This window comes from Homo sapiens, chromosome 3, assembly GCF_000001405.40.
Source record: "Homo sapiens chromosome 3, GRCh38.p14 Primary Assembly".
Classification (NCBI taxonomy): domain Eukaryota; kingdom Metazoa; phylum Chordata; class Mammalia; order Primates; family Hominidae; genus Homo; species Homo sapiens.
In genome coordinates this window covers 18,224,738-18,251,397 of record NC_000003.12, presented here as the reverse complement: position 1 = coordinate 18,251,397, position 26,660 = coordinate 18,224,738, and the positions used below count along the sequence as shown (strand labels likewise).

Sequence of the window (26,660 nt, the reverse complement as noted above, 5' to 3'; positions counted from 1 at the left end):
TCATGGTGATTCTCAGAGACTGTCTTGCCTGAATCTAGGCCTTAGAGACGTTTGTTTCTCTAAAACAACAATTTTCTGAGGACTTCAGTAGACTGCAGTGCTGGTGAATTTTTTTCTGCTACAGTTTCATCAGAGATGAAACGCAGTATCTCCTTTCTCTCTGGTCAGGGCCAGCATTATGTTCCTAAAGAATTGACTTCCCCTTGCTAAGGTAGACTATTGATGTGGGAAGTTGATAACATTGTGTTTTGTAACATTTCAGATGCAACATTTAACATGATAACATTTCAGAGCAAGTAGAGAATTTGAATCATGGTTCTACCACTGTTTGATCTTGTGAAAGTTACTAAAGCTTTGTGTGCCTCAGTTTTTTGCATCTGTCAAATGGAGGTAATAATGGTACCTACTTCATAGGATTATGTGGAGGATTAAGTGATTTAAAACATACAAAGCAATTAGAAAAGATGTTGACTAGTGACTCTAGGTCCTAGAGTCAGGCAAGAAGGTCCCCGGGGGAAATCACCATGAGATTAGGAAGAGCTGGGGTTGAGCTGAGTGGGTCAAGGAGCATAGCCCCTGAAGCTTATGTTCATTTAACCAGCCATGCTGCGGGCAGGCTTGTGTCTGGAGAAAGAGCAATGTGAATAGAGAGAAGCTCCATCAGGGTGTTTCTGCCATCCTGCCATAAAGGAGGCTGTATATTTCAAACACTAATAAGAACATTAGCCTGACTCTGGATGACTCTAGAGACTGCAAGGAAGATAGAAAATTGTAATACAAGGGGCAGAAACTGGATTGTCATGTGACTCACCACATGAGGTTGACTGCATGGTACCCATGTAGGCTGGGCCTTCAGGCACCATGGCCTTGCAGAGGCTGAGCTTGGTATGCAAGGAGCGGAATGACAACAGAGCTGGAATTTTAAATAATCCATTCAGGCTTGAGCAAAAAACTACACTGTGGCCTGAGAACCTAAATCCTCCTTTAGTACTCTGGATTGTGTAAACTGCTAAGATATTATATAAGCAAAGACAGGGGAAGACGGCCCTTGACATGGAAAATTTACCATTGATGGATCTATCATAATTTTGAGTGATAGCTAGACCTAGATTTAATTTGATTTATTTAAAACAAAACAAACAAACAAAAAAGGACTGTAACCTTTTTTGCTCTCAAATCTGTCAGTTATATAGATCTTTTCTATTCTTTAGCTGCTTTGTAGGTATTAGGGATGACTGCAATGTTTGGACAATTTTGCCAAGCACTTAGGGGCTCTGCCATGAATTGTGGGAAGCAGGAAATGTACAAGCAGCATAGGAGTGCGCCACTGAGGAGAGAGTGACTATTTTACAGCAAAGTTTTCCTTTCTAGTGATATAAAAGGCAGTGGGACATTCACTGCTAATCTCCTCGTGATGACATAAGGAAGAATCCTTATAAAGGTTTAGGACTCTTAGGGAGAGATGTACTTCCGTTTTGAAAGGATATTTCTATCACTGTAGAGCACTGAATTTGGCTTCTGTCACACACATCTAATATGATGGGTGCTACACGTGAAACTCAGCACCTGTGACAACCTACTGAGGGACTGCTCAGAGACTACTGCTTCTAGGAATTCGCTGAAAGCCTTGCAAAAAGTGGGGAATCTCCATTTTCAGGGTTAATGGACTTAGGTATAATTGTTTCAATTATCTGAAATAACATGTTTGATTTTCCTCAGAATATCACAGTGATTAAAGGGCAGGCTCTGGTTCTGAAGTAGTTGGTTCAAATCCTAGCCCTGCCACTTCCTGGTGGTGAGACCTTGAGCAAGTTGTTTAGCTTCTCTATACCTCAGTTTCCCCCTTACTAAAAAGCAATAATAATAACCACTTAATTTCTATGAGTTTAAATATATGATACACTTGTAATCAATGAATTCAATACACCTGTAATCAAACTGGTATGTATTAAGGATTCAAGAAATGTTGGCTATCAGTCTTTTACTAATACTATCATATTTATACCCTGGAGAATGCACGATGCAGTCATTTGTGGTCATGCAGGTATGCATACTTGGGGTCCAGCCCACTGGATTCTTTGGTTTCTGCATTGGATAAGCACTGGGGAGTCCCAGCTGGAGTTGAAGCTCTGCTCACAACTAGAAATTGTAAAAGGCTAGACATTCTAGGGGACTGGTGGTGTGTACTGCCAGGGTTTATTGTATCAGAAGATAGACGATCTTCCTGGAAGACCGGTAAGGAACCAGCTGAGACACAAGCTCACCCTGGGGAAAGAGCCATCAGGTACACAGCAGAGTTGATTGGCAGTGGCCAAGCCACTGAAAAGAAGGGTAAGGGTGACTTCAAATACATCAGAGGAGACTATTTTATTCTTCCTATATTCCCTTGTTATTGAATATTTAAAAATTAGGGGCTATTAGAAAACCCACAAGCACTATTTTCATGAAAACCTGCACTAGATTGTCATGAGAAATCCTTAAGAAAATCCTTAATGTAATGGTTTCTCTTCCTCTAGGAATACAGGATTGTCACCAAGTTTGCTAAGCAAAGGAGGCTTGGGAAACACCAGTCGGATTCCCACCAGCTGTCCATTGGGGAATCTGAATGTTTTTACTGTGGGAAGGAAACTTCCATTCCTTTCTTTTGGTAATGAAGGGAGTCTGAAAGATTGGTGAGGACTAAAAGAAATAGAGGTGGATTGTGCTCATTCTGGCTGGTCGAAGTAAACTGAACAACCTTGTTCTCTAAAGCTTGCAAGCCTGATGATATTTCAGGATGGGCCTGGCTGACTTGCATTCAAATTTCAAAATGCTTCTCTTTGGTTGAATTTTTTCCTTTTTCCATTTCCATATGTTATTACATGGACATCTTTGCCTCTGGCCCAAGTAAACTATGATACCAGAGTCCTCTGAATACAACTATACATACTGTTTAGATTTTGGACTGTATTTCCAATAGGTTCTTACCTCCAAAGGTACAGCTAACAGTAAGTACACTCTTCTCCCCCACTCAAACTTCTACTCTGCTCCAGCCTCCCCTCTGTGCTTTCCCTTCAAAAGAGGTGAGGTTTTGTTCACAAAGACCTGTTTTAAAATAGAGACATTCATCTTAAGGATAATACACTCCACCTCTCCAAAAAGAATGAGGCAAACAAACAGTTACTGTTGGAATGAGAATAGGAAACCGATGCTAAATACCATATCTGCTCCAGGCATGGGATCTGGCTTCCATTGAACTCTGGCCTGTTTTTTGCATTGTGACTGGCCAGGGGGCCCAGAAACCAAAGGTGGCCTGGTCAGGATGCAGCCATGAATAGAGTGGGCATAGATCATTTACAGAAGATTAGTTCACAATACCTCTGGAAATAAAGAAGTCTAATAGGATCTGGGGTCAGAAAGCCTTCACCTTGTTTACCCTCTGGAGCTTCGAGTTTTGTCTCAGGCATATTCCCTGATTGTTCACTTTCCAAAATCCAGTAAAACCTCTTGTTCCAATGACTTACTGATGAATTTCTCTACAGGCCACCTCCCTGGGAGCTATTGAGAACTTCCACATATCAAAGCTGTTGAATTATACATCCTTTACACAGACTGCTTCAATGCATTGTTAAATGTCTTGACAGTGGCCCTATTTATCTGATACTGCTAATCTGACTTGATCTAGCCCAACCCCCCAACCCCCCAAAAATGTCTGCTAGGCGCCACAAAATGCAAAGGAACTCTCTTCTCTCTAACTACAAAGCTTGCTGCTTAATTGTACAAATATTTGTGGTTTTGGCAAAGGTGAATGCTAATTTGTTGTTTTAGTATAAAGCTGGAAAGGTTAGGAGAGTGCTAAGAAAATAGGATCTACATACATGTGATGTGCTAAATTCTTGGGAGAAGCTGAGGCTCTGCAAATAGGACTCTACAAGTAAATGCTTGCAAAAAATCTGAAAGGAAACATTTTTGGTAGTTATGGGATACACAGAAGAGATAACAGGAAAAAAAAAGGCAAGAACTGGCCCTAGGGGTAAAAAGGAATTTTTTTTCTCTCTATAGATGTGTGTCTTGCCTTCATTTGGTTGCTTACTGCATTTGATTTTTACTTTAGAAATTGGTTTAGGGATTATAAGGGAGGGAATAATTTAATGAGTCATAATGCTTCAGCCTGGAAATTAGAATATTCAACAATGAGAGATAATCAAATAATTAAAATTACAAATATGCCTTTCTTTATGCATCTCTAAAATAGGTGTAGTGTCCTGTTAGGAAGATGAATTAGCTAATGATTAGGAATCACTTGGAGACCCTCAGGTGAAAGTTTTATTGCTTTGCTGGATTTATTTGTCTGAGTTAAATGTTCTGTGGTCTAAGGCAGTGCTTCTCAAACTTCAATGTGCATACGAAACTAGGGGGGGCTCTTGTTAAAATGTGGGTTCTGATTCAGTAAGTTTGGGGTGTTGCTCAAGAGTTTGCATTTCTGGTCAGCTCCCAGTGTCAATCTGCCGGACCACACTTCGAACAAGGATCTAAAATCCCTGTTTCTGAAAGCTGGCTATAAATTGGAATCAGCTGTTGATCTTTGTAAAAACTTTCGAAAGATTCCGATTTAATTAGCCTGGGGCCTCTGCCGGGCATTGGGATTTTTTAAGTTCCTCCTTCTCTTGAATCTCATGTGCATCCAAGTGTAAGAACCACACTGGTCCAAGGAGCCAGTATCCTGGCCCAGTCTAACAGGTCGTGGTGAGAACTAAATGAGATAATGCAGCAAAGTACTTGGCCCAGCCCCTGTCACACAATGGTCCCTCAATAAACCTTAATTGTTAGAGGCAGCCTTGGCTGTGACAAGAGATACCACCCAAGGTGCAGACAACACTAACTCACAGAATATCAGGCAGATGTCAAGGATATTGGCAGACATCAAGGTCAGCAATAGGGCAGGGGAAACTTTGGCACATAGTAGCTGCACAGCAGGTATCTCTGTGTAAGCAGAACAAGAGAGGAGATGGGACAGCTGTGAAGCTGCATGTCATGGCCTCTGTGTGAACTTGAGAAGGACCCTTAAAAGGGTGGTTCACACTATGGAAAACAATATGTCAGATCCTCAAAAAATTAAAAATAGAATCACCATATGATCCAGCAATTCCACTTCTGGGGATATACCCAAAATAACTGAAAACAGGGTCTTGAGCAAGTATTTGTACACTCATGCTGATAGCAGCATTATTCACAATAGCCAAGAGGTGGAAGCAACCCAAGTGTCCATTGGCAGATAAATGGATAAACAAAATGTGATATATATGCACAATGGCATAGTATTCAGCCTTTAATAGGAAGGCAATTCTGACACACGCTGCAACATGGATGAATCTTGAGGACATTATGCTAAGTAAAATAAACCAGTCACAAAAGGACCAATAGTGTATAATGCAACTTATATGAGCTACCTGTATTAGTCAAATTCATAGAGACAGAAAGTAGAATGGTGGTTGCCAGGGGATGGAGGGAGAAGGGAATGAGAAGGTTGTGTTTCGTGGGTACAGAGTTTCAGTTTTACAAGACAAAAAAAAGTTTCGGAGGTTGGTTGCACAACCATGTCAATGTACTTAACGCCACTTAACTGTACACTTCAAAACAATTAAGAAGGAAAACTCTATGTTATGCATATTTTACTATAATTTTAAAATAATATATATTTAAAAATAACTAGAAAAGTGAATTTGGAATATTCCCAATGCAAAGAAATGATAAATGTTTGAGGTGATGGAAATCCCAGTTACTCTGATTTGATCATTACATATTGTAGGCTTGTATCAAAATATCACACGTACCTCCCAAAATATGTACAATTATTATGTATCCATAAAACTAAAAAGAAAAGTTTTTTAAAAAGATGTAACTCAAATGTCCTCAGAATGAGTGAACAAGGAATCAGAAAAATGTAGGCTTTTGTATAACTTGCCTTTTCCTGTAGACCTCTGGAATATGGAAATTTCTAGGTCCATAAGTAGAATGCATTTGAGAGTATCCAGTAGAACAGCTGGGCTATTAAAATGATAACTTTATCAACAGAGTAACAGTTAAGAACTTACTGTGTGGCAGACACCATGCTAATCACTTCGTATTGATTATTTCCATTTACCCTCATTTTAACTCTGTGCAGTAGGTTCAAGTATTATCCCATTTTCAGATGAGGAAAAAGGCTAAGGGAGCTCAAGGTATCTAAGGAAGCAAAAGCTGAGCTTCTAACTGAACCTAAAATTATGCTCTTAACTACCACATCATCCTATGCATATAATATATTGCTAGTGAACATTTCTTTATTTTTCAATCCTAAAGACTCATATTACATATTGGTTAGAATATGAGACCTACTTAGCATTTGCCACAGGAAAAGATTGCTGGCTAAATTACTCAGCTATTTAGAAAGATTGAATACTTTTTCACAAAAGAGAAGAAAGCATTTAGATTGCAACAAGAATGTATGTAGAAGCACTCTGACTTCATAAAAGTCTATTTTGATGTAGTATGTTACTAGAGATCTTTTCAGTTAAAAAAAAATCTAGGCAATGGTATTTTGAGGTAGACTAAGTGACCTCTTGAGCTTTGACTTTTTATATAGATTTACACCACCTAAAAGCTAAAAGTAAACTAGAAGTTAATTATTTTAAAAAAATGCTTCATTTAAAGACAAAAGCCTTATGGAATATCTTATGAAATGATATGGGGAAAAATAAATATATATATAACTACACACACACAAATAAGAGAACCACTGTAATTTTGAACAAAGCATAAGGAAAGATAAGTCTCTGTCTTTGAGAACAGTTTGAGGAGATGCAGCATGCATTCGTGGCATTAGTCAAAGGCGGGGCTTCATATGGTGATCTGTTACCTCTGTATTTACTTCTTACTACGTGCTAGACACTGTTACTAGGTACTTTGCATATCGTATTTCATCTGACCCTCACAACCACTCCACAAGCCAAATATTATGATCCCCAGTGTACAGATGAGAAAACTGAGGCCCAGAGAGTTTGAGTGACTTGCCCAAAGTCACACATCTAATCAATAGATGAGCCAGGACTGAGATCCAGGTCTTTCAACTCCTAAATCTGTGTGCCTCCAGGAATGCTGTGCAAGGGAAGACTTGGGACACATATCACAGAGGGGTAAGGGAACGTTTTAGCAGGGAGAGTGAGTGGGAGCTTACAAAGAGTGATGTCAAGGACTTTGGGATAATGTTCCTGTGTACTCCCCTCACCTCCATTATATGTCCCTTTCCATTTGTGTCACATTCTCTATTGTTAGTAATTGTTGGGCTATTGCATTATGTCTCAGGTTACCCCATTTTAAAATGAGATACTCATGACAGGGATCAAATGTGTGGATTTGTTTATTTCATAATATGAATTAGTTTATCAAGTCAAGTTCCTAAACGATCTGAAAATGGAGAAAATGGAAATGTAGATTGACTGGTCAAGGGAAGGGATCAGTTTGAAGCCCACTTGGGGGAAGCCTCAGTGGAAACCCAGATTGATGGGGCATTGGGTGTCTATGAAAATGGGCAGACTGAGGAGCACAGAGGCACCAAGGACAACCCTCCTTCTAATTCACCATTTACAAAAACAGTCTTGAGATGCTGCTTGAAGAAAATATTCAAAAATAAGTGAGGGTCTTCCTCACATAAACTAAGATTGAGGCAAGAATGAGTGGACAGGAAAGGGGGTAATCTCACTGGAGAAGGGGATCTATGTTGGGGAAACATGAGATGAGAACCTACTGGGTGAGATTGGACAGTAAAAGAAGAGGTGCTAGTGAGCCACTGCATGTTTTAGACGGGAAAAAATGATGGGTCGGTACATAATCTGAAGGATAATAAAAGGGAGAAGCAAGACAAAAGGTTGCTGACATAAACTCAGCTGCCGATGACATGGAGCAAAGAAGAGAACCCGGGGAATATGTCAAGGCAAATAGGCAAGATTTGGGGATGAATTTTAGCCTCAAGGACTTAAGAAAGGTCTTTAAACAAGTGGGCAAGCTAAAAGTTTGGGAGAGAGGATAATAAGTTCAATTCGAAATTGTGGTAAACATAAATGTGTACTGGTAATAATTCAACACAGACTCTGATTTTAAAATAAACCATCATTTAAAACTTTTTTTAAAACACTGTAGAATTATTGAATTATAATAATAACAGCTAATATGCATAGAGAACTCTATGAATCCACAGACACTGTTGCATATTACTTCAATGGATTATTGGAGTTGGAATTCGAATCTATGACTTCCGGCTCCTCTTAGAATCTGTGTTGACTCCCCTATCCTGCTTGCTAAGCCCCTCTTCTCAATGATAGGAGGGTGTAAACATGGCCAAATTAATCTGAAAGAAGAATTTCAGCCATGGGTGAGGAGAAGGAAGTATTTGTCTACAAAAATGTCAACAGCACTTATCCAGACCTCTTTAAATAACTATATAGGTTGGCAACTATTTTTCCAGCAAGTTGAATTTTCTCGGAATTGTAACCATTATATGAAAGAGTAGGCATCTTTGTTATCTGATCTGCCCTTTACTATTTCAGTACTCTGTCTTGAAAATGATACAGAATACTGGTCAATCCCTGAAGTGAATAATGAACTTCCCTGAGCACAAAAGGTCTTGGTTAATGTGGCTAGCAAATAACAAAGATAGTATTAGAGTGATAGATCAAATGACCCTGCCCAGGTCAAGCACATGGGGATGCTATTAGTTGTGTTTATTTTATTTATATTTATTTATATATTTATATATTTATTTATTTGAGACAGAGTCTCGCTCTGTCGCCCAGGCTGGAGGGCAGTGGCACGATCTTGGCTCACTGCAACCTCTGCCTCCCAGGTTCAAGCAATTCTCCTGCCATAGCCTTCTGAGTAGCTGGGACTACAGGCACCTGCCACCACGCCTGGCTTATTTATTTATTTATTTATTTATTTATTTATTTATTTATTTATATTTTTAGTAGAGACAGGGTTTCACCATGTTGGCCAGGCCAGTCTCAAACTCCTGACCTCAAGTGATCCACCTGCCTTGGCCTCCCACAGTGCTGGGATTAAGGCGTGAGCCACCGCACCAGTCCATTAGTCGTTTGTTTTTAAACGGCTTTATTGAAGTGTAATTTGCATACCATAAAATTCACCAGTTGTAAGTATACAATCCACTCATTTTTAGTAAATTTATAGAGTAAAACCACACTCTAATTTTAGAGCATTTCCATTCCCCCAAAAAGCTCCCTCATGCCTGTTTCCAATTAATCACTGCTCTCACCCCCAACCCTAAGCAACCTCTGATCTGCCTTCTGTCTGTATCAATTTGCCTCTTCTGGACACTTCATATAAATGGAATCATGCAATATGTAATCTTTTACATCTGAATTCTTTCACTTAGCACTTTTATTGAGGTCTATTCATGTTGTGGCAAGTATCAGTACTTTATTTCTTTTTCTTGTTAAGTAACATTCCACTGTATTGATACACAATATTTTGTTGTCTACTCGCCAGTTGAACTTTTAGGTTGTTTCCAGTTTGGGGTCATTATAAATAACGCTACTGTGAACATTTGTATACATGTCTTTGTGTGGACATTACATTTTCTCTTGCACAGATTCCTAGAACCGGAATTGCTGAGTGGTACAGAAGGTTTAATTTAAAAAAAAAAAAAAAAAAAAAAGCTATCTGCTTCCAGAATAGCTGTACCATTTAACATTCCCACCAGCAGTGCATGAAGTTTCTAGTTTCTCCATACACATCCTCCCCAACATTTGGTAATGTCTGTTGGTCTTTTTAATTAAGGCCATTCTATAGGTGTACAGAAGTATATCATTGATTTTAATTTGCATTTCTCAAATGACTAATGATATTGAGCATTTTAATATGCTTATTAGCCATTTATATTTCTTTTTTGGTAAAATGTCTATCAAATATTTTGTCATTTTACAATTGGGTTGTTTGTTTTGTTACAACTTGTAGCACTTTGTTATATGTATTCTGCATAAAGTCCTTTGTCAGATATATGATTTGCAAATATTTTCTCCCAGTGTGTGGCTTATCTAATCATTGTCTTAGTGGCATCTTTTGAAGCACAAAAGTTTTCAAGTTTGATAAAGTTCAATTTATCTGTTTTTTTTTTTTTTTCCTTTAAGGATCATGCTTTTGATATAGTAGCTAGGAACTCTTTGCCCCACCCAAGATCACAAAATTTTTCTCCTATATTTTCTTCTAGAAGTTTTATTGTTTTCACTCTCATAGGTCTACAATTCCGCCTTATAATGACTACATAAGGAATATAGAAGCAAGGCTGTGTTCATTGGGGTCACACAGAATATAATATCTTTTTTTTTTTTTTAATTTTCACTGTATTCTGGAGGTCAAGCAGAAAAAGAATCCCTGAAATTTGAATCCTAGAGGACAAAGATGCTTTTGGTGGGGAAAATGTTTTTTGTGAGACTTTGATGTAAGTGTGGAGGAGGAAAGGACAGGGCTGGGATATGCTGCAAGCATGTCCTTTTCCAGGTCAGCCAATCAGAATGTGCTAGATGCAATAGCAAGTAGAACTGGCCATCTGGTTTCAGCCTAAAAATGAAAAGGAACTATTTAAATCTGCTGTCTATATGCTCTAGGCATTACTTAGTACATCTGCATATACAATAAATAAAAATCAATTATAAATTCCATTTCTTCTTACATGTCTATGTTCATTTGATTATAGAAGTGGTTTGGGCACAGGTAGAGGGAAATGGGAGGACAAGTGATTAACCAGGAGGGACTTGATGTAAGAGGCAAAATCATTTTGAGTTACCAGGAAAATTGAAGATTTTATATTAGACCTACCAGAGGATAGATAATTTCAAGAACGTAAGGATCTTCCTAAATATTCTCCTTCCCCCTCCATCAACTACTTTAAAGTATGCAGTAGCCACTAGACCCCTAGCCTCTCTCAAATGAAAGTTTTCACGTTCTTCTCAATTGTAACAGTAACATTCATAAGCAACCATCACAGGGCTAATAAATAACACCTTAACAAAACATAAGCAAATCGTGATGATGATGAGAATGACAAAGGAAAGGAAATGTGCTCAGAGGATGGCTCTGTGCAAATGCCAGATGGAGCAGGAAGGGAAGGATTTGGCCAAAAGGGAATGCAGTAGATGTCTCAGTTCTTTCCAGGGAGCAGAGCCGTCAGTGCAGGACTAAGAACTGATATCATGAATTAATGTTTTAAAATTAATGTTAATTACAAAATAATACATTAACATCTAATCCTTCCAAAAAAAGAAAAAAACCTGATGGCAAATAAAAGTAAAAACGCTCTTTGTACCACCCCTATGATCTCCAGAGCCACTCCCTTTCCCTTTTCAGAGATAACCCTGAGTAAGTGGTTTGTTGTGGCACCTTCTAGAACTTTTCACCGGATTTACATGCATACATGAGTCCCCATAAAGTATGTAAGTGTTTAGGGTTTTTTTTTTTTTTTTTACATAGATGGTGTTAAACTATATGACTCACTGTGCAACTTGCTTTTTTCATTTATCAATACTTCTTAGAGATCTCTTCACACCAACACAGGGAGACCACCTCATTCTAGTTGTCTAGATGTGGTAGGTTGAAATAGTTAAGAGTTTTTCCTATGCAGCTGGACTACAGGGGTTCACGTCTCTGTCCCAGCTGAGTGACCTTGAGCAAGATACTTAACCTATCTGTGCCTTAGTTTCTGCATCTCTAAAATGGGAGTTAGGATGGTACCTACATCAGAGAGTTCTTATGCATATGAAAAGCACTTATAACAGGATCTGTGACATTATAAGTAACCAAGAAATGTTATTGATGCACATTTAGATTATCAACAATTTTTTGCTATTGCTAATAATGAATAGTTCAATAAATTTCCCTAAACATGCGTCTTTATGCATCCATGTAAGTGTTTCTGTAGAGTAGATACCAGGAAACAGAATTCCACAGATGTAGGAATTAGATATCTCAGATATAGCAGTAATGCAAAATTGACCTCCAATTTCTATTCCTGTCCATGAATGAGAGTACCCATTTCTCCCCACTCATGCCATCAATTAATGTCTTAAATGTTTATTCCTCTAGAAAGCAAGAAATGATCATGCTTTAATGTTTTAATTTGAATTTCTCTAGTTATAATGGGAACAAAAATATTTTCATATGCTTATTAGTCATTAAGGTTTCCTCCTAGGTGAATTCCCTTTTCATAACCTTTGGCTATTTTTATATTGAGTCATTTGATTTGCAGAATTTCTTTATATGTTCTGCATGCTAATACTTGGTTTGTTACATATGCTGAAAATATTTTCCCCCAGTCTAGGTATTAATTTATTAAAGTACTCCAAGAAAAACTTAGCCCATCCTCAAGTAGTCCTGTAATCAGTGGGCTCCCAGGGGAACTAAACCACACAGAGACCACCACAGCCACACTCAGACCACAGCTCTAACAGATTGAAAAATGACACAGATGAGCTGAGGGCTGTGGACACAGCTTAGAAAACAACTTCTGCGCCAGACACCCTTTAGCTTTCCTGGTCTAGACATAAGTGGTTCTGAGGGCCTGTGTATTTTGTTAATTTGATTATTCCTATGCCCTGAACCCCTGAAATACGGTTCCAGGCGAGGAAGTGGTGACCAGCAAGCCCCTGGGAAGAAGTACAATAGATATGAACAAAAAGAATAAGAATAAACAATCATGAAATTCCTCCAGGACCTTGCTACTCAAAATAGCAGCAGTAGCATCACTGGGAACTGGCTAGAAATGCAGAATCTCAGCACCCACCCTAGATTGACTGAATCAAAGTATGCATTTTAGCAAGATCCTCAGGTGATTCGTGTATACATTACAGTGTGTGAAGTACTGCCCCAGGCCTGTTTAAACAACAGAACTAGCTTCTTAGTGGACCTAGAGTTTCTCTCACCATCTGTTACGAGTTGAATTGTGTCTCCTTCTCTCAAATTCATATGTTGAAGTCCTGACCCTCAATACCTCAGAGTGTAACCTTATTTGGAAATAAGGTCATTGAGGATGTTATTCATTAAAATGAGGTCATACTGGAGTAGAATGGGCCCCTTAATCCAATATGACTAGAATTCTTAGAAAAGGGAGAAATTTGGACATGGGCACTCATACAGGGAGAACATGTGAAGATGAAGACAGAGATGTAGTGATGAGGTAGAAGCCGAGGATGCCAAAGATTGTCAACAAACTACCAGAAGCTAGAAGAGAGGCAGGGAATAGGTTCTTCTTCACAACCGACAGCCCGCACCTTAATCTCAGACTTCTGCCTCCAGTAATGTGAGACAATAAAATTCTGTTGTTTAAGCCACCTCATGTGGTACTTGTTACTGCAGCCCTAGCAAAAGAACACATCATCCCTTAGGTTTCCCATGGTGGAGGGACGGGCCATGCAATGCCCTAGAAAAGACCCCTGGGTTTATCCTCTGGATGATAAAACAATCTAAGGGCACAGATGAATAGGGCACAGATGCCACCTCCCTCTCAGGCAGTCACGGTGCTCCAGCAGTGCCTGCTGCTGCATGCTCTGCACTTTTTGCAGGGTCAAGTGACACCTCCCAAGGCTTTTGGCAGTTGGCTCTCTGATGCTGCTCACACTGTGGAGCACTGGGGCTTTTTTTTTTTTTTTTTGCCTTTAAACAGGAGTGGGAAGCAGTTAGATAAGGAGAGGAAAGGCTGGCTGATGAACAAACTCCATTATCCTTGCTTTTGTGTTTCTACTCAAGTGTTTTAACTAATGGGCTGTTTAGAGAGAGTTTGCCCTGGTGAAATTAAAAGCAAAAAATGGATTTGAAAGAGTATCCATTTCTTTCTTTATCACTCATTAGTGACTCAGAGCAGTTAAGTCCACAGTTTCCGATTTACTCACAGCCTGTTGAGGCAGAGTCTGTGGCCTTTATTGAATCACAGAGTAGACAAATCATCATCTTCCGGATTAAGGTTAGTTTCCTCCTACTTGGGCTTTTCTGAAATGTGCAGTACCTGCAAACAAGGTACTTTAGCCACTGACTGCCCGCTGTACATTACCTAGGTTTATCTCTGTGCATTAGAATATAGCATTTTTTTGTCCTAAATAGTTCTTTTAGAATGATGCTCAATTCTTCCAGAAAAGGGTTTTTTTTTCCTAATAACAATAGCAAATGTTTATTGTGTAGTTAAATGTGTTAAGCACAGAGCTCATACCTCACACATGGATTGTCGCACTTAATCTTCATTGCATCCATCCCAGGTAGGTGATGTGATTATCTCCATTGCACAGCAGAGAACACTGAGGCACAGAAAAGTTAACTCAGCTGCCCACACACAGCTAATAAGATGTGAGGCATTATCTTCCTGGTCACCTCCAATCTCCAATGGAATGTACGTAACAATAGCGCTGCAAGGAAGGCTCACTTATGACACATTTTACTCCTAAAGGGTCTTTTGTTCCTGGTACCACATAGCCATGAGTGGGAAGGGTGTAAACAATGGAAGGCCAAAGGAATGGGATGGTGAGATTTTGTTCTGGAGATAGCCAGATGCAAAGGCTGAATCCAGCTGAAAAGATCAAATCAGTTCAATAGATTAGGCTCACCAAGCCTAAAGTGCCCCATAAAGGGAAGCAAAAGTGTCTAGGGCATGGTTCTCAAACTTGAGCATGCATCAGAATCCCTTGGAGGGCCTATATTGAACTCTGGTGCCGGACTCCACTCCAGACTTCCTGATTCAGTAGGTCTTGGGTGGGACCTGAGAAGTTATCTTTCTTATAAATTCCCAGGTAATGCCAATGCTGTTTCTGTGGACCACGCTGAAAATTACTGGGCTAGGGGCTAAGAGCAGAGTCTCTTAAAGAGAAGGGAGAACATCAAAAAGAGCTAAATTTAAGTCCCAGTACCACCACTGACCAGCCGTGTGACGCTGGGCAAGTTTTAATCTTCTCTGTACTTCTGTTTTCTTTAGTAAAAAAAATGGGGCTTAAAATTGTACCTTATTTCTCACATTAATTATAAGACATGAACAAGATACTGCATACTAAAATAATTAGCACAAGACCTGGTACTTATTAAGCATTCAACAAATGCTAACCACTGCCACCACCACCACCGCCATCATCATCATACTTTTTGTTGTTACATACAGTTTATTCTTACACCTCTCCTCTCATCTCTAACATGCCAGACCTCTTTGTGTTTCTGTGCAAACAATGGATCTTCATAATAGGTCTTATGTCATAGGTCATAATAGGTCAATAGGTCTGTTGTGAGGATTAAATGAGTTACTCTTTATAAAGAATTTAGCACTGTGCCTTATACATAGAGCTCATTATAATTCCTCCTCCTGCTATCAAATGCATTCTACTAATTGTTTTATATAAATTATGTTATTTAATCCTCAAAGTAACCTTGAGAGGTAGAAAATGTTATGATCGTTTGATAAATGACAAAACTAAAGAATCAGAGGTTAAGTAACTTGCTCAGACTATGCAGTGGTTAATTTAAACACAGATCTGTTTGACCCAATAAATACTGCCCCTTTATTATTTAATAAGAGGCAGTATCTTGCTCGAACTTATAACTCATTTCAGAATGAATTGGGACCTACTGGATCGGGGACTGGGAGTTTTAACAGAAAGCAAGTTTTGATATAGAAATGTAGGTTTGGAAAAATAGTTTCACTTATTGGCCCACAAAATAGATCAAGACTTGTTGCCGTCATAACCCCCTTTGCTTTTGAGACAATCAAGGTGACTTCCACCTTGTAAAAATTTGCTGAGAAAGAAAGCAGAACAGCTACCAGCTAGGCTCATGCATATTTTCCATGTCACCAGCTGAAAAGCATTAATCTTATTCCTGATTCTACACCTTGTTCCCTTGCTGGGTCACCGTCTATCCACACAGCCAGACTTGGGAATGTTGAAATCATAGTTATAATAATTTGAAACTGGCCAATGCAATGTCACAATGTTAGACTCAGATTTCCCTGAAGTCAAGAGGTATTTAAAGAAAATCTAGGCACTAGCTTTGAATCTACCTAGTTAGTTACAAGATGAAAATGATTTTTCTTTCTGTAATTATGCAGGTAGTCCCCAAAGACATTTATTATGTTAAACTGGCACCAAGTGTCAAGGAGTGTTCATAGGTAGCTTTCAAGGTTATAGAGGAGGACCAGATATTTACAGAGGCGGGAGCCACAGGCTTGACCTAGGAGAGGAATGCCATCCAACTGATGCATGTGGTTAATGTCTCTAGGAATGAGAAGCCTCTAGCAGTGGAAGATCAAATTTCAATTTACCTGGAGGCAAAAAATAATCATAAACAGGTGCTCTTGAATGTTCAACCATGCTGTCTGAGTTCTTAACCAAATACCTCCTCATCTACCTCAGGCTTCAGTGAGGAGAAGGCAATTTTAATTTGCTTCCCTTTTACCTCTGGCTCCCTTAAAAAATGTAAAATAAAATCTTTTAGGATAACAGAACATGTGTACAGAATGTGGTTGTAGCCAGAAGTTATCCCACAGCCCTGGCCTGTGACCAGTTTGCCTGCGAGGATTTATTTTAAGCTATTCTTATCTGAATTCGTCTGGCTGCGCCAGCATGGGAGCTAATTCTCTGACAATAAGCCTGCTGGGGTGTGTTTGGGTCTCTGTTTGTTTGTTTTGATGTGCACAAAGACTGCAAAATGGATAGCGGCATCACACTCCTCTCTAAATGAGAGGCGCAGGCTGGCACAACAGGGGAGGCTTGACGATATTTGGGAATCTGGGTAGCGAACAAACAAGCACTTCAGGGAAATGCAGGTAGGCACATTCTCTCCCTGCAGGGAAACCCAGAAGCACAGGATCTCTTGAGATGAATAGGACTACCAGGATTAGAAAATTCCAGCCTGTCAAGATCACGGGGAGACATCCAAAGTCTCTGCACGGGCAATGAAGTGAGCAGAAATGCCGAGCTCTGAGCTGCAGTTGCTTGAAGGAGCCCCTGACTCAGCATTTTATGCCACTTACACCCCCAACTGAGGGGTACTCTTGCTCACAGTCTTCTGCTATCATGCAGTCTTCACCGGCAATAACAGACTATTAAAGCCTCTGGCTTCAGTTCTTTAACCTCCTCAGTTCCAAACCCTCCAGTCTTTTCCTCTCTTCACCTCAGCCACACACCTCACACATCACCTCTCAAAACTGTTCCACTGCCAGAATGTCACTCACTGGAATTTTCCCCAGCTCCTACTACCTTGTGTCCACTGAGCACACGCCTTTTATCTTTTACCAGTGGGCACTACCTCTTTTCCATTCCATCACCATCGTTCTGATAAAACCTCTCTCAATACAGCCTAGACCTTCTTGCTTCCTTGATGTTGCCAGAACTCCATTCTTGGGAATACTGTGGTCTGTCAAATACCAGGAGGTCAAGATGTTGATGTTGGGGTGATGGGGTCTACCGCACAGTCATGCTGTTTGACCTCAGGTGGCCCTTTAGCCTATGCCAACATATTTGTGTTGCTCTCTAATTGACTGTCAAATTCTCCCATGGTTCTTGTTCCAAATGTTTCATTTCTCCCTAATACTGCCACCTTAGCCCTGGACCTTCATTTGAGAGAAATATCCTGATGGTTAAGTTCACCCCGCAGACTGAGGGCATGCAATAGCTAAGCATCCTCACTTTCTTTTCTCTTCACCTCAAGATCCCTCTACCCTTAGCTTCTCTACCCTCAGAGGGAGAGATACTTCTCCTTTCTGCCAAGTCGTTCAACCTTATCCTATAGTTGGATCTTATTCCCTATAACTTCAACAATTATTTAATCTCATCTTCCATCCTTCTTTCTGTTTCGTCAAACTCTTCTTGCCAATAAACATGCTCAGATCTTCTCTATATTTAAAAGTAAAACCTTTCCTTGACCCTGCAACCATCTTAAATTACTAATTGATCCCTGTCCTTCTTTAACAACCACATTTAGTAAAGAGGTATTTCAAGACATGCACACACCCTAACTTTATTATTTTGTTTTTTGGCATCTGAATTCTGTTTCTCACTCAACAAAAACTGTTTGTTCCAAGATTACCAATGAAAATGCCAAACCCAATGTCTGCTGCTCCCTTGGTTTCTGTAACTTTCCACCATCCTGGTTCTTTTGTCTTTGTAGCTGGTTTTTCATCTATCTTCTAAACTTTTAATATTGTTTTACCCTCTCAGTGCTTCTCCCATCTCTACGCTCGCTGTCAGCAATCTCACCTGCTTTCCTGGCTCCAGATGCTATCACCAAGCAGAGAACTCCTCAGATGAGCTCTAGCCTCTCTTTCAAATTCTACCCTATAAATCCAACTGTTAGCTGGTTCTCTGAGGAATAATACTAGTAATGATAATATCCACAACGTATTCTATGCATATACTATGCATATTCTATGCATTCTATGCATATACTATGCATATTCTATGCATTCTATGCATATACTATGTTCCAGACACAGTACTAAGTTAAATTATCTTGTTTAGTTTCTTCCACAACTCTACAAGTAGATATTATTGTGCACTCTTTACAGAGAAAAACATCAGGGCTCAGGGGGATTAATTAACTTGCTCAAGATTAGATATTCTATGGCAAAGGACTAGTACATGAATCTGACCCTGGAAAGAGCATTAGGCTAAGGGTTAGAGGATGTGAAATTAGAGTCCTGGCTTTGACACTAACTGGGTTTGAGTTTTGAATGGACCATTTAGCCTTACTGGGCCATGGCTCTCTTATCTAAATGATGACAGTAAAAAATCCTACTAGTGTTACTCAACTCTAAACGTGCAACTTCTTATAGTTCTACTATTGCAACGTATTTCTATGACATCTGAACTCCAACAAGATTAAAATCAGTTACTTGTTCATACAAGTCCAAATCTACTGTACTCCCTTTGGGCATAATCATTTCAGAATGTCTGGCAAGTGCCCCTACAAGAGTTTCTTTCCTTGATGGGTGTAGGATGCGCTGTCCCAAGACCATTATTACAATAGAAATAGCAGCTGTTTGTACAGGATGATCACTGTACCAACCAACTGCAAATAGTGAGTTTGGAACACATTAAAAAAGGTCTGCAGTGAGCTGAGATCGCACCACTGCACTCCAGCCTGGGCGACAGAGTTAGACTGTTTCAAAAAAAAAAAGAAAACAGTCTTTGAACTTGGTAATAGGGCCTTATAAAAAGTCATTTTAAAAATCTATTGGTTTCAAAAAATGTTACTTTCAAGTTGGTCTGTGAAATATCCTGGATGACAAAATGAAAAAATACATGAAATCATCCTGAACAAATCACTATGTAACCAATTAGGACCTCCTAAATCAAATGTCTGTGATTTTTTTAAACTTCTACTTTTTTTCTTTACAAAAGTAATAGAAACAACATAAAAAGTATATAAACTATGATAAGAAAAAGAAAAAAAATCATTCATAAGCCTCAGTCCCTGGAACATCCACTATTAACATTTTTGTGTATAATTTTCTAGCCTTTTTTTTTCCTACATGTGTTGTTTTTTTTTTTTTTTTTTTTTTTGACAGAGTTTCACTCCGTCACCCTGGATGCAGTGCAGTGGCATGATCTCGGCTCACTGCAACCTCCATCTCCCGGGTTCAAGTGATTCTCCTGCCTCAGACTCCCAAGTAGCTGAGATTACAGGTGTGTACCACCACATCCATCTAATTTTGTATTTTTAGAAGAGATGGGGTTTCACCATGTTTGCCAGGCTGGTCGCGAACTCCTGACCTCAGGTAATCTGCCCGCTTCAGCCTCCCAAAGTACTGGGATTGCAGGGGTGAAACACCATGTCCGGCATACGTGTACTTTTAAAAAAATAGTGGAATCCTATTCTAAATACTGTTTTTGATTGGATTTTTTATTTTAAAGTACATCTTGAATATCTTTCTATAGTATTAGGTATTTTTTCTTCAACTTCTTTCTTAAATGAATGGATGCACAATAATCTGGAATCAGGATGTTCCATCATGTATTTAGCCTATCTTTCAATATTGGCTATTTAGGTTACTTCCAAATTTTTACTCCTCAAAACAATGCTCATTGAACAGTCATATAATTAAGCCTTTGTACAAATTCTTAAATATTTCAAATAGATTTATAAATATGGAATGGGAAAGTTAAAGGGTATGCAATTTAAAAAAATATTTGATATATTATTACCAAACTGTTTCCGAAAAGGTTGTACTAATACATTGTCTACCAGCAGTATAGGAGGTTTTCTGCTTTCTTCCAATTTCACCAGTGCATCATATTATTGTTTCAATTTTTGCCAAATTGGGAGTTGTTTTAATTTGTATCAAATAAAATGCATATCAAGTATTGTGTCTAAATTGATATTAATTGGACAACTGTAACTGATAACTATATAGTTATAAGTAAATTGGACACTATATATATAGTGCTCTCTATAACAAGAAAAATTTATTAGTGTTATTGATAGCACTTCATTATTGATAGTACTAAGAGTTTATTAGTGCTATCAACAACAAAGGTATCAGTAGATTATTTTTCTTGTTATAGAGAGCATATATATATATATATATATGCGTGTGTGCAGTGCATGTGTGTGTGTGTGTGGTTCTCTATAAAAAGCAAAACAGCTCAAGAAAAGAGAGAAGCAACTCCAAAAGTGTTACGGATATGGAGTAAAATGTATTTCTTGAAGCAGTTGGCGTAAACGACTGTGCCAGGACTGGTTGTACAAAATCAAAGGAAAGAATAGACCAAAACAAACAAAAACAAAACACAAAAAAGTCCTGATGAAATAGACTTTAAAGGAAAAAATGAATTGATCATAGGAGAAACTATTACTCTTGGGGGAAAATATTTCCTTGTGATTCTATGAGAAATAGAAAGGTAGTCACATTACACATGATAATAGTTAATGCAAAGAAGACTGTGACACAGGATGCAAGAACTGGTTCACACATGATGCTAGAATAAAGCATCATCCAAAATGTTACAAGGCTTAAGCCTTGTAACATGAAATTTTTTTATGTACCAAGAAAACTCTTGGGTACATCATTGGGAAAATGTCCAGCAGCCCAGTTAATAGAATAACCAACTCACTTATCATTTAGTCCTCAACAGCCAAAAGGTTTAGACCTTATAATCTTGGCTCTCACTAAAAAGGAGGCAGAACAGTGGGGTGTGAAAGGTTTCTAAGACTGGGGTTTACATCCTAATGCCATCAATTCCTAGCTATGTGACCTCCATTGGGCAAATTGTCCAGAGCCTCAGTTTCCACTTTGGTGAAATAGGGGTAATACTATTATCTCACTTACCTCAAAGAGTTGTCATAAGGCTCAAGTAGGATGACAAATGTGAAAAAGATCTTTGTAAACAGTTAGGACTGGGGACTACAAAGTTAAATATGGTAGGATATTCAAATCCATAAATCTCACATGACTAAGTTGAAAAGATATCCGTAATATTTTTCAAATCCAAAATGTTAGTCACATTCTTAAATCCCCAAATCTAAAAAGGCTGTAGGGTCTAGTTTTGCAAACTATTTTAATAACTATCAAGATCAAATAAACGTATGTCTTTCTGTGGTCTGGGAAGCCTAACTTTCTTAATCTTGTCTTGGCAAACGCATATCACAATTTGAAAAACATGTTGTCTCCAACCCATCTGACTCTGTCTCCAGTGTTATATTATGTTCTACATCCCGCCAGGTGCTCGGCGTAAAACTCCAGAGTCTTTTGATGTTTGTCACTTTCATCTCCTCCCTCTCTATCAAATTAACTCAGGAAAAAAAATCCTTTCATGAAGATATATATATATATTTCTGAAAACTACTCTATCAAAACTATAAAATTAGTCCTCAAAACTCAAAGTTAAAAAAGTTATAACTTAAGTAGGTGAGTAGGTATCTTGATTGCTGTATTTTTATTCTGAATTATTATTTGCTATACAATTTGTTTATTACTTTGCAAAACACAAAAATAACTTCCAACATGAGTTTTCTTCTCCCACGTGCAAATTAAATACTTGCTACTGGAATTATACATTGGTTGGTTGAAATTGGCTAGCTCTTTCTTATCAGTGGTCAGTGCTTCCTGCCTCAGAATTGACAATTATCATGTCTCCTGCTCACCCTGAGAATTTTATCAAGTACATGTTAGCACATCTGAAGGGCTGTTGTCTATCATTTCTCGGTAGTTGATATACCTTTGCTGAATGGCTGCACTATCAAAATACTGTCTGTGACTCTTTGTTCTAAAGAGGTTATTTCACGTAAGACAAGAAGGAAGCCAGATTTATTCATTTATCTAGTGTTTACTGTGTGCCAGGTACTATTATGGGCACTGGAATATGGCGTTGAACCTGTCTTCTTGCTGTCATGGCCTTTGTATTCTAGTGAAGGAGACTTATTACAAACAAATAAATCAATGCCCGTCTAATGGCACAAGGTGATAAGTACTGTGATGGTTACATTTTATGTGACAATTTGGCTAGGCAATGATGCTCAGTTATTTGGCCAAACAGTAGTCTAGATATTGATATGAAGAAATTTAATAAATATGATTAATATCTTCAATTGGTTTTTTATAAATAAAGGATTTACATTTGATTACGTGGGTGGGCTTCATTCAATTAGCTGAAGGTGTTAAGAACAAAAACTGAGGTGATGCCAGAAGAAAAAGGAACTCTGTCTTAAGACCATAACACAGAAATCCCCTGAGTTTACAGCCTACCAGCCTTCCTTACAAATTACAAACTTGTCAAACCCCTCAATTACATAAGCCAATTTCCTAAAATAAATTTATATATTCATACGTAGATTTATTCTACTGGTTTCCTGTCTCCGGAACACCCTGACTATTATAAGTACTATGAGAAAAATGAAGCAGGTGAAATGGGGAGACCATGTGGAAATCAGGGGGAGACAGCTTGGAAAGATTGTTGAGGGAAGGCTCCATGGGGAAATGACATTTCAACAGAAGCCTGAATCAAGTGATGGAATGAGCTAGGCAAAGAAACAGAAGATATTCCAGCCTAAAGGAATAGTAAGTGCAACAGCACTGAGGTGGAACTAACCTCAGTGTGTCTGAAGAACAAGAAGTGAGACTGGGTAGAGCAGAGTAAATGGGGAGAGGAGTGACAGACGATGAGTTTAGGGAAATGGGCAGGGGAAAATCTTGTAGGGTGTAGTAGATATGAATGTGATAAGAAAGCACTGGAGAGTTTTGATCAGGGAAGCAATACAATCTGATACACATTATGAAATAATTGCCACTCCAGCTGCTGTGTAGAGAACTGACTAACAATGAGAAATGGAAGATCAGAGAGATCAGTTAAGAGACCTTGCAAGCCAGCTGTAAGATCATGATGGCTTGGATGAGGGTGAAAGGAATGGAGGTATTGAGAAGTGTTCAGATTTGGGATATATTTTGAAGGTAGAACTGATATCACCTTATGCTTTCCTATCTCTTTAATAGGGAATATGGTTAAAAAAAAAAAGAGAATCAAGAATGATACCCTAGTTATAGCCCAGGCATCTCGACATAAATGATGCCATCAAAGAGATGGGAAGCCTAAGATTTAGTAAGTTTTGGAGTAATAGAGAACTCAAGAATTCTGTTGCGAACATGACCCATTTGAAAGATCTGTTGGATAGTTAAGTGGAGGTGTCATGTAGACAGCTGTCTGTCCTGAAAAATTGCCCAACTCAAAATATTTTTGAGAGTTTAAATCATGGTAATCCATTTTGCATCTTGGACATCAGTTATGCACCAGTGATAAGCAAGTGGGTGTATTGTTTATAGATTGCTCTCAATAGTCTCAATCTGATAGAATGTTTACTTAAAGGTGGTTGCTCTCTTTATTAGCTATCTAAATACTGAAACAGGTAGTTTAGGAAAATGGATAAATTATCATTACTTTTTTCCCAAAGCAAATTTTTTAGGGGTTTTCACATATCCTTGTAATGTGATAAAATCCCGATCTAATATAATAAAAGTGCAGTTATTAAACAAATAGTCATTAGGTAAAAAGAGAAGAGGCAATATCTATTAATTTGTTAATCCCTGATAGATCCAGTTAATATATATACATATCCCTAAGCAGGTGATTCTAAAATTTCTATAAAGTAGTATTAGACCTAGATTCCAGTGGAATGTGATTATAATTGATTCAAAAGAAGATATGCTGCTAAAGTGTTACCCAAATGTAAGTTTCAGTCATAAGCTAGATCCTGCTTCACTTAAGCAATACATTCCTTTACAAGTATTGGTCCCATGAAAATTCCCAGTAAAGCAAGCTGCCTACCTAATTGATAGAGATTTAAGTTCAAGAAAAAGTTGCGATTTAATCCCCCAAATCACCATAAGTTGTCCTTTACATGTTCTTAGGAAACAGGACCTGTATCAAGCATTTCCATTTCTGTCATGCCTGCTCTGGACAAAGGGCCATCATCTGAGCTTGTCACATGAAATCCAGCCAATTCCATCATACTTTGCAAGAGTCCAGATCTCTCTCACTGCCGATGCCTTTGGAGCCACAAAGTGACAGTCAGCCCGGCTGTTATGGATGCCCAACACATGGCAAACCTGAAAATAAATGTTACGAAAAAGGCCACAGGGCCATAATAGAGTTGTTATTAGAGCCGAGATGAGTGCTGCAAAATGACTGAACGTCCACTATCTAGAGAGGAACAGAAATTTCAGAGACTGGGGGTAGATGACTGATGGAGTTGGCTAGTTCCAACTTCCATTTCTGCAACTGACACACAGATGCAGAAAAAGCTGAATGTATTCTAATGCCTTTAAAAAAAAAAAGAAAATCCAAACAAACCATGAGTGGGGCTAGTTTACAGTCATCAAATGGTGACTTTCATTTGATTTGGAATGATTTGGAATGCTTTTCTGATGTGTTCTATCTTTCCTATAAGGAATTGTGAGCTTATTATACTCAGAAATCTGAGAGCCAGATAAAAGAGAGATCTTGCCTCAACTTCTCTGACAAGGAGATAGGAAGGAATAGTGTAGGCCCAAAACTTTAGGGCTCAGATCCTGCAAAAAGTCATCACTCTTCATCTATTCAACTTCCTGTCTTCATAAGTATTAATTTTGAAACGAATGCGTAAGTTGAAGCTTTTCTTTAAGATTGACTATACTTTGTCAAATGATGGAAAATGCTTTTAGCCAGAAAATCTATTCTTTATCATAAGGCACTCTTCATAATGGCTTTTTAAATTCAATGTAATTTGTTTTTGGAGTACAAACAGGTTCTGCTGCTCAATTGGTAATTCAGGATTCGTTTTCAAAATAAACTAAAGACACATTCGTGATCACCACATGTTACTGAATGTCTATCCAAACATCTAACACGAAAGTTTTGAAAAGTTAATTTTCTGACCATTCCTCTGGTGTCATTCTTAATTCTGTCACCTTGACATCATGTTGACTCCTTCAGGAAGCAGTGTTAAGAAAAGTGAAAATGTGTCATCAGGCAGTGTTGTGGGTGAATGTACTACTCTGACAGCATTAAACTTTTATGGATGTGTTTATGTATCATACATGTACAAGTCAGCAAGTCTGTATTAGAAATAATCTGCAGAAGCAATAAATTAATGCTGTATTACTAATATTAGTTTACATGTTCATCAAATGGCTCCATGTTTGTGACCAAAATCCCCCTCCACATGAGCTATCCAGCCTGTTCCTGCCCTGAAGCTGGCATGTGCCCTTTTCAGCTCTGAAAAACCTCAATTTGCATAAAGGTCCTCAGCCATCTGAATTAGCTTTGTTTTTGTGTGGAACTGTAAAGGTTGAGTGGTAAGGGCTTAAAGAATCTCTTAAATAATTAAATGGAGTAAACAAAGTGACATCTTGAAGAGTGAGTTTTTTTTTTCTCCCCTTGGGAGAAAAATAGCAAATTCCTTAAGATAATACATTAGATAGAAAGGGGCAAACATTTTTAATGAATAGAGTAGGGTTTGGAGGAGTGTTGAAGAAGCAATGCAGGTTTTTGGCTAGCTACTTCTGGTGCCAGAGATGGTTTTTGGGGTCTTCTTTATCAATGTGGTGGCAACATCTGTGAAAAGTGAAGATTTAAAAAACAACATTGCAGGCTGTTACAGAGGATACTAAAGATGCATCACTAATGACATAGAAGGGTGTGTGTGTCTACATAGGAGAAAATGGAGTTACCTCTCTCAAAAGTGTTTCATGAAAGAACAAAGATGACTGCAGGACATAAGGGATTTTTTTGAGGTATCATACTGTTCTGCCCACCAGCTGATGATGAAGCTATAGATAATTTTCAAAAAAGATAAAAATTAACAAAAAGTGAAAACAGGAACATTTTCTGATGCTATTGATAACTTAATGAAAATGTAAAGAGACTTATGTGAAACTGAATTTTATTTTCCAAGGGATAAAGGAGAAACGTAGACTTCCAGAGCAGGTTCATTTTTGCTATCGGAAGTATAGCTGAATAAGGCAGCCTCAAATGAAACCTAGAGCCAAAGGTTTTCTTCATTCCCTTCTAGTGTGTCCATAACTCTCCTGGAATCTGTGAGCTTGCAAGACAATCTAGCACACATTTGAGCTTTCAAGATGCATGGCACATCCAGACTCGATGTGGTGTTAGTAGCTCCTGTCATTAATAAATTCC

General features: G+C 38.5%; 1 long non-coding RNA gene across 1 annotated transcript in view, besides 1 other annotated feature; it reads right to left on the bottom strand.

The window, feature by feature from the left end:
* Window positions 1-26,660, bottom strand: part of BALR6 (B-cell acute lymphoblastic leukemia associated long RNA 6) — a 306,371-nt gene that overhangs the window by 17,525 nt on the left and 262,186 nt on the right. The gene's annotated exons all lie outside the window — the stretch shown is intronic.
* Window positions 16,667-16,961: a silencer, noted in NCBI's record as "tiled region #1190; HepG2 Repressive non-DNase unmatched - State 24:Quies, and K562 Repressive non-DNase unmatched - State 24:Quies". NCBI's record gives its function as "represses a minimal TATA promoter and a strong SV40 promoter by Sharpr-MPRA in HepG2 and K562 cells {active_cell/tissue: HepG2 | K562}" and the evidence as "EXISTENCE:reporter gene assay evidence [ECO:0000049][PMID:27701403]".